Raw genomic sequence first — 12,597 nt, 5'->3', positions numbered from 1 at the left:
GGATGGCTAGGGCCACTGAGAAGACAGCTCTACCCTAGAGCTCTGTGGCTGTGGCTTCACCCTTTCTAAACATGAGCGCCGCGTTGCCCAACTCCAGTTGCTGCAATAGCACCTGACCATGGCCTAGCAAATTCATTCACCTTGGGTCCGGGACACTTCTATGTTGTTCTATTTACTGTGAGGGGAATTTCTTAAGCCTTTGAGAAATGGAGAGGAGGATAGATAGGAGCTCAAAAAAAATCTCTCAGCTGCTTTTAATTTCCTATGGGAAACACAATGCAATCTCACCAAGTTTTTCACTAAGAGCAAGTCTCCATTAAAACTCCAAAGAGTTTAAATGTATTAGAAATTTGAAACACTGCTCAGGTTTTCCTGAAGTTTCCTTGGGACTTTTAACCTATACTCTCATCAATACCCCAATCTCTGCACCAGCAAAATCATTAAAAATGTCCCATAACCAAGACCCCATTGTTTCTTCCTGCTTTTTCTTTCACTTTCAGACAATACCTGTGAGAGTCCTAGCTGAGAGAGGCCCACTGACCGTTCTATGCTTTAGCTAACTATCTCTGGACAGTTTTAGACTTTTAAACTGAGGACATCCCACTTGGATAGAAAGCCGTGATGGAACTATGAAGTCACAGGGCATCAGCATGAGGGTTCAGTTGCCGATAACAAAACAAACAAACACCCACTCTAGCTGTCTCAAGCAAAAGGAATGTGATGCAGGGAACTGTGTGCTTAGAAAACCTTTGAAAGGCTTTAGGCAGACTTCCATGAAAGACTCTCAGAACAGCACCACCGAACTGGTCTGTCAAAGTAGCTACTTCATCTCAACCAATTTTTGAAAGGTGATTTTCAAAAATTTTTCAATGACTCATTTTTAAAAACTAAAATTATTTTGAGATAATTTTAGATTTTCATGCAAGTAAGTATTTAAGAAATAATATGGATTGCTGGCAAGATGGCCGAATAGGAACAGGTCCACTCTGCACCTCCCAGTGAGATCAACACAGAAGGCAGATGATTTCTGCATTTCCAACTGAGGTAACCAGTTCATCTCATTGGGACTGGTTGGACAGTGGATGTAGCCCATGGAGGGTGAGCTAAAGCAGGGCGGGGCGTTGCCTTACCTTGGAAGCACAAGGGGTTGGGGAGTTCTCTCCCCTACCCAAGGGAAGCTGTGAGGGACTGTGCCTGAGGAATGGAGCACTCTGGCCCAGATACTGCACTTTTCCCATAGTCTTCGCAACCCGCAGACCAGGAGATTCCCTCTGGTGTCTACACCACCAGAGCCCTGGGTTTCAAGCACAAAACTGGGCAACTGTTCTGGGCAGACACTGAACTAGCTGCAGGAGGTTTTTGTTTTTTTTTTTTCCCCATACCCCAGTGGTGCCTGGAATGTCAGAAAGACAGAATAGTTCACTCCCCTGGAAAGGGGGCTGAAGCCAGGGAGCCAAGTGGTCTGGTTTGGCAGGTCCCACCCCCACAGAGCCCAGCAAACTAAGATCCACTGACTTGAAATTCTCGTAGCCAGCACAACAGTCTGAGCTCGACCTGGGACACTCCAGCTTGGTGTGGGGAGGGGTGTCCGCCATTGCTGAGGCTTGAGTAGGTGGTTTTACTCTCATAGTGTAAACAAAGACAACTGGAAGTTTGAACTGGGCGGAGCCCACTGCAGCTCAGCAAGGCCACTGCCGCCAGACTGCCTCTCTGGGCAGGGCATCTCTGAAAAAACGGCAGCATCCCCAGACAGGGACTTATAGATAAAACCCCCATCTCCCTGGGACAGAGCTCCTGGGAGAAGGGGCAGCTGTGGGTGCAGCTTCAGCAGACTTAAATGTTTCTGCCTGCTGGCTCTGAAGAGAGCATGGATCTCCCAGCACAGCTTTTGAGCTCTGCTAAGGGTCAGACTGCCTCCTCAAGTGGGTCCCTGACCCCCGTGTATCCTATCTGGGGGACAACTCCCAGTAGGGGCTGACAGACACCTCATACAGGAGAGCTCTGGCTGACATCTGGCAGGTGCCCCTCTGGGACAAAGCTTTCAGAGGAAAGAACAGGCAACAATCTTTGCTATTCTGCAGCCTCTGCTTGTGACACCCAGGCAAACAGGGTCTGGAGTGGACCTCCAGAAAACTGCAGCAGACTTGCAGCAGAGGGGCCTGACTGTTAGAGACCCCATACAAAGGTCGCCAACATCAAAGACCAAAGGTAGATAAATCCACGAAGATGGGGAGAAACCAGCACCAAAAGGCTGAAAATTCCAAAAACCAGCTTCTCCTCCAAAGGATCACAACTCCTCGCCAGCAAGGGAACAAAACTGGACAGAGAATGAGTTTGATGAGTTGACAGAAGTAGGTTTCAGAAGGTGGGTAATAACAAACTCTTCCGAGTTAAAGGAGCATGTTCTAACCCAATGCAAGGAAGCTAAGAACCCTGAAAAAAGGTCAGATGAATTGCTAAGTAGAATAACCGGTTTAGAGAAGAACGTAAATGACCTGATGGAGCTGAAAAACAAAGCACAAGAACTTCGTGAAGCATTCACAAGTATCAATAGCTAAATCGATCAGGCAGAAGAAAGGATAAAAGAGATTGAAGAACAACTTAATGAAATAAAGCAAGAAGACAAGATTAGAGAAAAAAGAATGAAAAGCAATGAACAAAGGCTCCAAGAAATATGGGACTATGTGAAAAGACCAAATCTACTTTTGATTGGTGTACCTGAAAGTGACAGGGAGAATGGAACCAGGTTGGAAAACACTCTTCATGATATTATCCAGGAAAACTTCCCCAACCCAGTAGGATAGGCCAACATTCAAATTCAGGAAATAGAGAGAACACTACAAAGATACTCCTCGATAAGAGCAACCCCAAGACACATAATTGTCAGATTCACCAAGGTTGAAATGAAGGGAAAAAATGTTAAGGGCAGCCAGAGAGAAACATCGGATTACCCACAAAGGGAAGCCCATCAGACTAACAGCGGATCTCTCAGCAGAAACCCTACAAGCCAGAAGAGAGTGGGGGCCAATATTCAACATTCTTAAAGAAAAGAATTTTCAAACCAGAATTTCATATCCAGCCAAACTAAGCTTCAGAAGTGAAAGAGAAATAAAATCCTTTATAGACAAGCAAATGCTGAGAGATGTTTGTCACTACAAGGCCTGCCTTACAAGAGCTCCTGAAGGAAGCACTAAACATAGAAAGGAACAACCAATACCAACCACTGCAAAAACATGCCAAATTGTAAAGAAATTGCATAACTAATGGACAAAATAACCAGCTAGCATAATAATGATAGGATCAAATTCAGAAATAACAATATTAACATTAAATTTAAATGGGCTAAATGCCCCCAGTTAAAAGACACAGACTGGCAAATTGGATAAAGAGTCAAGATCCATTGGTGTGCTGTATTCAGGAGGCCCATCTCACATGCAAAGATACACATAGGCTCAAAATAAAGGGATGGAGGAATATTTACCAAGCAAGTGGAAAGCAAAACAAACAAACAAACAAAACAAACAAACAAAAACAGGAGTTGCAATCCTGGTCTCTGATAAAACAGACTTTAAACAAACAAAGATCGAAAGAGACAAAGAAGGGCATTATGTAATGGTAAAGGGATCAACGCAATAAGAAGAGCTAACTATCCTAAATATACATGCACCCAATACAGGAGCACCCAGATTCATAAAGCAAGTTATTAGAGACTTACAAAGAGACTTAGACTCCCACACAATAATAATGGGAGACTTTAACACTTCTGTCAATATTAGACAGATCAATGAGACAGGAAATTAACAAGGATATTCAGGACTTGAACTCAGCTCTGGATCAAGTGGACCTAATAGACATCTACAGAACTCTCCACCCCAAATCAACAGAACATACATTCTTCTCAGCACCTCATCGCACTTATTCTAAAATTGACCACATAATTGGAAATAAAACACTCCTCAGCAAATGCAAAAGCATGGAAATCATAACAAACAGTCTCTCAGACCACAGTGCAATCAAATTAGAACTCCAGGTTAAGAAACTCACTCAAAACTGCACAACTACACGGAAACTGAATAACGAGCTCCTGAATGAATACTGGGTAAATAATGAAATTAAGGCAGAAATAAATATGTTCTTTGAAACCGATGAGAACAAAGACACAATGTAACAGAATGTCTGGTACACATTTGAAGCAGTGTGTAGAGGGAAATTTATAGCACTAAATGCCCACAAGGGAAAGCAGGAAAGATCTAAAATCGACACCCTAATATCACAATTAAAAGAACTAGAGAAGCAAGAGCAAACAAATTCAAAAGCTAGCAGAAGACAAGAAATAACTAAGATCAGAGCCGAAATGAAGGAGATAGAGACACCAAAAAAACCTTCAAAAAATCAATGAATCCAAGAGCTGGTTTTTTGAAAAGATCAACAAAATATAGACCACTAGCCAGACTAATAAAGAAGAAAAGAGAGAAGAATCAAATAGACACAATAAAAAACGATAAAGGGGATATCACCACTGGTCCCACAGAAATACAAACTACCAACAGAGAATACTATAAACACTTCTACACAAATAAACTAGAAAATCTAGAAGAAACGGATAAATTCCAGGATGCATACACCCTCCCAAGTCTAAACCATGAAGAAGTCTAATCCCTGAATAGACCAATAAAAAGTTCTGAAATTGAGGCAGTAATTAGTAGCCTACCAACCAAAAAAAGTCCAGGACTAGACGGATTCACAGATGAATTCTACCAGAGATACAAAGAGGAACTGGTACCATTCCTTCTGAAACTATTCCAAACAACGGCAAAAGAGGGACTCCTCCCTAACTCATTTTATGAGGCCAGCATCATCCTGATAGCAAAACGTGGCAGAGACAAAACAAAAAAAGAAAATTTCAGGCCAATATCCCTCATAAACATCGATGCAAAAATCCTTAATAAAATACTGGCAAACAGAATCCAGCAGCATATCAAAAAGCTTATCCACCAGGATCAAGTCAGCTTCATCCCTGGGATGCAAGGCTGGTTCAGCATACACAAATCAATAAATGTAATCCATCACATAAACAGAACTAATGACAAAAACCACATGATTATCTCAATAGATGCAGAAAAGGCCTTTGACAAAATTCAACAGCCCTTCATGCTAAAAACTCTCAATAGACTAGGTATTGATGGAATGCATCTCGAAATGATAGGAGCTATTTATGACAAATCCACAGCCAATATCATACTGAATGGGCAAAAGCTGTAGGCATTCCCTTTGAAAACCAGCACAAGACAAGGATGCCCTCTCTCACTACTCCTATTCAACATAGTATTGGAAGTTCTGGCCAGAGCAATTAGGCAAGAGAGAGAAATAAAGAGTATTCAAATAGGAAAAGAGGAAGTCAAATTGTCTCTGTTTGTGGATACGTGATTGTATATTTAGAAGACCCCACTGTCTCAGCCCCAAATCTCCTTAAGCTGATAAGCAAATTCAGCAAAGTCTCAGGATACAAAATCAACGTACAAAAATCACAAGCATTCCTATATACCAATAACAGACAAACAGAGAGCCAAATCATGAGTGAAGTCCCATTCACAATTGCTACAAAGAGAATAAAATACCTAGGAATCCATCTTACACGGGATGTGGAGGACTTCTTCAAGGAGAACTATACACAACTGCTCATCGAAATAAAAGAGGACACAAACAAATGGAAGAACATTCCATGCTCATGAATAGGAAGAATCAATATCATGAAAATGGCCATACTGCCCAAGGTAATTTATAGGTACAATGCCATCCCCATCAAGCTACCAATGACTTTCTTCACAGAATTGGAAAAAACTATTTTAAACTTCACACTGAACCATAAAAGAGCCCGCATAGCCAAGACAATCCTAAGCAACAAGAACAAAGCCGGAGGCATCACGCTACCTGACTTCAAACTATACTACAAGGCTACAGTAACCAAAATAGCGTGGTACTGGTACCAAAACAGATCTATAGACCAATGGAACACAACAGAGGCCTCAGAAATAACACCACACATCTATAAGCATCTGATCTTTGACAAATCTGACAAAAACAAGCATTGGGGAAAGGATTCCCTATTCAATAAATGATGTTGGGAAAACCAGCTATCCATATGCAGAAAACTGAAACTGGACCCCTTCCTCACACCTTATAGAAAAATTAACTCAAGATGGATTAAAGACTTAAACATAAGACCTAAAAGCATAAAAATCCTAGAAGAAAACCTAGGCAATGCCATTGAGGACATAGGCATGGGCAAAGACTTCATGTCTAAAACACCAAAAGCAATGGCAACAAAAGCCAAAATTGACAAATGGGATCTAATTAAACTGAAGAGCTTCTGCACAGCAAAAGAAACTATCATCAGTGTGAAGAGAGTGAACAACCTACGGAATGGGAGAAAATTTTTGCAATCTATCCATCTGACAAAGGGCTAATATCCAGAATCTACAAAGAACTTAAACAAATTTACAAGAAAAAAAAAACAACCCCATCAAAAAGTGGGCAAAGGATATAAACAGACACTTCTGAAAAGAAGACATTTATGCAGCCAACAAACATACGAAAAGAAGCTCATCATCACTAGTCACTAGAGAAATGCAAATCAAAACCACAATGAGATATCATCTCACGCCAGTTAGAATGGCGATCATTAAAAATTCAGGAAATAACAGATGCTGGAGAGGCTGTGGAGAAATAGGGATGCTTTTATACTGTTGATGAGAGTGTAAAGTAGTTCAACCATTGTGGAAGACAGTGTGGCGATTCCTCTAGGATCTAGAACTAGAAATACCATTTGGCCCAGCAATCCCATTACTGGGTATATACCCAAAGGATTATAAATCATGCTACTATAAAGACACATGCGCACATATGTTTATTGTGGTACTATTCACAATAGCAAAGACTTGGAACCAACCCAAATGTCCATCAGTGATAGACTGGATAAAGAAAATGTGGCACATATACACCATGGAATACTATGCAGCCATAAAAAAGGATAAGTTCATGTCCTTTTCAGGGACATGGATGAAGCTGGAGAGCATCATTCTCAGCAAACTAACACAAGAACAGAAAATCAAGGACTGCATGTTCTCACTCATAAGTGGGAGTTGAACAATGAGAACACATGGACACAGGGAGGGGAACATCACACACTGGGAACATCACACTCTCGGGGTGTGGGGAGCTAGGGGAGGGATAGCATTAGGAAAAACCGAATGTAGGTGATGGGTTGATGGGTGCAGCAAACCACCATGGCACATGTATACCTATGTAACAAAACTGCACATTCTGCACATGCACCCCAGAACTTAAAGTATAATAAATAAAATAAAATAAAATAAAGAAATAATACAAGCTGGGTATGGTGGCTCACGCCTGTAATCCCAACATTTTGGGAGTCTGAGGCAGGCTGATCACCTGAAGTTGGGATTTCGAGACCAGCCTAACCAACATGGAGAAACCCTGTCTCTACTAAAAATACAAAATTAGCCAGGCATGGTGGCGCATGCCTGTAATCCTAGCTACTCTGGAGGCAGGATAATCGCTTGAACCTGGGAGGCGGAGGTTGCGGTGAGACGAGATTGTGTCATTGTACTCCAGCCTGGGGGACAAGAGCGAAACTCTGTCTCATAAAAAAAAAAAACAAAAAAAAAGAAAAAAAAAAAGAAAGAATACAGAAATTCTAGGCACTTTTTACTCTGTTTTCCCCAATGACAATGTCTTACAAAACCATAATACAACTATCACAACGAGGATATTGACATTGGTACTATCTACTTGTCTAATTCAAACTCCCCTGGTTTTAGTTGTACTTACGTGCATGTGTGTGTGTGTGTGTGTGTGTGTGTGTGTGTGTGTTTGTGTGTGTGTGTTTAGTTATTTGTAATTTTATCACTTGTTTAGATTTGTGTATCTGTTACCACAGTCAAGACATAGACCAGGCACCACGTTGGGCTCAAAAGCCAGGGATGACTATAAAGAATGGTAGTTCATAAGATGGCTCCGGAGATGATTTCTACTGGAATCCTGAGACAGTTTTTGCTGTGGCACTTTTTTTGTGATAATTATATAGCCTCCTTTCATAGCAATTTAGACTGAACTTCTGCCATGATTTTGGTGTCTGTATGTTTAAGATAAAGCTAATATTTAGTTATTTCTCCTGGTTTTATTTCATTTCTGGACTAATAATTATTGGCCCTTGTGCTTGGGTGCCAAAGGCTGTGACAGTGGAGACAGACTTCCTGCTCTGAATGGCTCATAGTAGGAAGAATCATTGTCATAGAACCCACTTTCTTTTTATTTTTACCCCCATGAAAGTATCAAATTTTGCTCATCTTGGCTCTCACCTGCTCCCTGGCTCCAGCCTCCCCAGAGTCTTGGTCCCATTGAATCCTCTAGGCTCATTCCTTCTCCAACAGCTTTTCCATTCCCATCCACCTTCGTGGAGCTTCCGAGTTCATTTTATTTCTCATAAAGAAATAACATATTCCAGCCCCGGCCAATCTTATTTTCCACCTCTTTCCAGGAGTCATGTATGAAAACTGCAAACTCTACTCAGAGTGTCCACTCCATGCCCTAAGAGTAGACATGACCATAGCAAGAGTGAGGAACATAGGAACAAAGAAGACACTGCAAAATAACAACTACAATTACTATGCCTGCTGTAGAAAACTTCTCTCCCCCAGTCACCACTGTCTCTTAAATTCAGTTATATCTTTCTTCAAGAGTAAGCTCAAAACTGCATTATCTAAGAATCTTTCTTTTATTTTTCCCACCCAATTTAGACTCTCATTTCATCTTGGACAATAACTATTTTATAAAGTTCCCTTCTGATTCCTACATTCCTCACATCACTATCTTGCTCAAAACCTATTAAGTCCTCACTGCTGAAAAGACTACCTCATTATTATGGCACTCAAGGCCCTCTTCAGTCTATGTTCAACTATTATTTGTAAGCTCATCTCAATAACTTTTCTGCAAACATCCTATGCTCCTTCATTACAAAAACACTTGCCATTTCCTATAATGTGCCATGAAATTTTGAATTATGGCTTTGTGCATTTTGATCCCTAAGGCTGAAAGTACCGTCATACTTTTCTGGCCAATAAAATCTTACCCCAAGATTACTCAAATGGCTCCTACTTAATGAGCCCTTTCCTGATTTACCTTTTCCTTCTTGATCCCTGTTGGGAACCTATAATCAACTGTGCTTTGACACATGCGGTAAATCAATTGTAATGTAGTCGGTGAGTATTTGATGCAGCCACTGAATAGTGAGCACAGGAATGAGGCTAGAGTATGGTTCATGTTTCTATCTGTAGAACCTCACACAGGTATGGAGGGGCACAATGGCAAGGATTAGGAAATATTCTGTTTAAACCAGAGAAATTCAGGAACATACTGCATGCTACTAGAATTTTTATTAAGATTTAGGTATCTGGAAGAAATGGTTTAAAGGAGGTCCGGGGATTGAGTATTGGGACCCTAGGTCACTGGGGTTACAATCTTGAAACAAAAGAAGGCAAAAATCTGCTTTAGTGTTTGAGGAAGTCCTAGAAATTAGTAAACTCATTTTGAACTGGAAGAGAATTAAGTAAGGTTCAGAGGCCCTATTTTGAAACACTGGAATTTCAGAGAAAAAAAATATGCTTGAGATGAAATACAGCAATTTCACTTGGCTATCCTTGAAGCAGATTCCTGATAACTCATTTCAAGTTTTTGTGTTGTTGGATGATAATACCTGAAAGCCCAGAAAGCCTTTTAAAAAATCTCATCAGTGACTATAATTCCTAGGATAACTATTCCAAGATTTGGGATACCTTTGAGTGATGGCAAAAACAAGAGTAATGGCAGTTCCAATGGCAAGAGCAGCTTTAGAGGTGGCAAGAGCAGCAGCAGATGGGCTTAGGGGCCCACAGGGAAACCAGCAGCAATGATGATTACCACCATTGACTGAACACCTACTGTGAGCATGAAAAGTTGCCAGATGCTTTATAGACATTATAGTTAACCTTCATAACTATAATTTAAAATATATATATATAATCCATATTTTGCAAATATAGACACTGTCTCAAAGTGAGGAGGTAACTTGCTTAGATTCATATTGTTAAGTAGTAGCAAAATTTGGATTCACTATTAAGCCCATGGTCTTCCTGCCACATTTTAATTTCTCTTAAAAGTGGGAATACTTGAAAGGACATATGTCCCAAGAAGTTTTAGAGTATAAAGATGCTGAGTGAAACTGTTGCTGTTGTTATTCATGTCAGAATCATTAAGGCTGTCACAGTCTTGGGATACCAGTAGGTCTAAAATAAGTGGTCGAACTAAACTGAAAGGAGCTTATACTAGTGCCGCAGTCTAATCCCACTATTTTCACCCACAATGTCTTTAGCAATCTTCTCTGCCTCCTTTAAAATTTATTTCCAGCATTCTTCACTTGGTGGGAGAAGTTCCCAGAGTTACCTCTCAAGAAGGAAAGTACCCATTAAATGTGCCACTGATTTTTTGAGGGTTGGAGGGAGGCTAACTAGAACCCATCAATGGTTAACCTCAACAAGAAGAGGAAAGAATGACTGTAGTTATTAATGTGGTTTAGACAAGTCTGGCTCAGCAAACTGGGAATCTGAGGCTAAGAAAAACAACAACAACAAACACATGCCCAGTACTGCCATTTTGTCCTCCGTTTCTCTGGGATCACTCCTGAATCACCCATAACCATCTTCCCTATGTTTCTACCAACCTCAGCAAAGAGCTCTTCAACCATTTCATGGATTTGGTCCACTCTATCATGACCACTTTTGCCATGGTCTTCTCTTGTTCACCTCCCCATCTTTTCATGGTCTGTTGGGGTCACTTGACTTTAGCCCCTCTCCTAGATTTTAGAACTATCCTTAATTGAAGATATATCAGATTCCATGATCTAACTCTTAGGTATTTTCTAGAAGAAAGTCTCTAAGAGTGAGGTGGATTTTAAGCTTACAATACATATGTTGATCTAGAGCTTACTTAAAAAAATTCTAAGCCTTTTCTAATATATATTTATGACAAAACTCCAGGACAAAATAAAGTGTAGAATTCTTATCATGAGTTGGTGCTAGTCATGGGAGCTGATAGCTTAAGTGGCCAACAGGTGGTCTCTTTTCACCAGCCATCATGCCAAACCCATCCATTGAGGGTATAGTTGGAAAAAAATCCCAACTGCAATCTCTTAGGCATTTCAGCATTCTGAGCACTAACAAAATAAGAGACTATAAAGATTCCTTGTGAACAATCCATACTTTAGGGCTAAGGGTTTCTAGGATTTTGGACAAGAGATGTCACTTTCAGAAGCCCTGGTAAGTTTGTGGATCTTTGAAAGTGAATTTGATCCTCTTTTCTTCATTCTAAGCAGTATTGGGATACATGGTACAAAGAGATGCTGCAGGGGACTTTTCAGAGAAACGTGATCATACCAAGGTGTCTTCTATCCTATCTTTACTGCTCCTGTCCTCCTCAGCCTCTCCAGTCCTTATTGTCTACTCCCCATGGTGTAGTCTGCTACTAATGCATTCTCTGAGCTTTTATTTTCAACAATTTTACTTGTATTTCCAACAATTAGCCGTCTTTTAAACAATTTTCCAATATTCACTTTCTACTCTGTAACATGGGTCCTCTGTTGCCTGTAATCTTTGGCAGTTTGGGGGCATGTCTGGCTCTAGTGTTCTACCTTCCTCAATCCAGCTTCAGTGAGTCAGCAGTTGATTATATTTTCTGAAGCCCGCCATGTCCCATGGACTTCAGTCCTGGTTCCAATTAAGCTTTGGTTTTCCAAATGGAAGATAACTCCTTATTTTAATATATCCTCCTGGCTACTTATGGGAGGGAGGTCGCAGAGCAGACATGGGAAGTTTTTAGGGGTAACATAAACAGAGGAGGCTACTGAGCCTTCTCTATTTACTGAGTTTCTGCAGGTCATTCTCTTTTAGCTGGCAGCATCTGTGAACTGGCCTTGCCTGCCATGCAGAAAGCTGACTTTTCTTGTACCAACCACACTTTTCTCCTTCATCTATTTACGGTTCACACACATTCTCAACCTAACCCTCCTGTTTTATATCATTTCACTCATCATCACTTCCACTCTTCCACTAAAAGACTTTCTGTTTACTTTTACCAAATCACATGATGTGAGATAAATGTTCAAATCCTTATTTATGGGCATTTAAAGATTGCAACACTCCTTTTACGAGGCAGCTATTTGATTCCAGTATGGATAAGCTACAAAGCTAGAGTTGGCCTCCATCGTGGCTTGCAAAATGAAGGGCACTGAAGTTATTTTTACTCATAAAAAGGTAAATAATGAGGCTCAGATCTGGAAACAAACAGAACCAGAGTGTACCCTGGAGAATGCCAGGATGGTCTATTGGAGTGACATCACTATAGCAGTACAGTCACACTGGGAGAATCAGTATAGATTCCCAAATTCTGCGAGCTGTTATCCAATTATATTGCCTAATCAAACTTGTCTACAGTAACAACACTTAAAACAAGTGCTAACATTTATTGAATGTTTAGGACAGTTCT

The 12,597-nt window shown here is 40.6% G+C and overlaps 2 long non-coding RNA genes across 2 annotated transcripts in view; one reads left to right on the top strand and one right to left on the bottom strand.

The window, feature by feature from the left end:
- The window catches only part of LOC105373456 (uncharacterized), a 529,181-nt gene that overhangs the window by 67,453 nt on the left and 449,131 nt on the right, over positions 1-12,597 (bottom strand). The gene's annotated exons all lie outside the window — the stretch shown is intronic.
- The window catches only part of LINC01376 (long intergenic non-protein coding RNA 1376), a 40,521-nt gene that overhangs the window by 5,068 nt on the left and 22,856 nt on the right, over positions 1-12,597 (top strand). The gene's annotated exons all lie outside the window — the stretch shown is intronic.

Source organism: Homo sapiens, chromosome 2 (genome assembly GCF_000001405.40).
Source record: "Homo sapiens chromosome 2, GRCh38.p14 Primary Assembly".
Lineage (NCBI taxonomy): Eukaryota > Metazoa > Chordata > Mammalia > Primates > Hominidae > Homo > Homo sapiens.
This window is presented reverse-complemented; position numbering and strand designations above follow the sequence as displayed.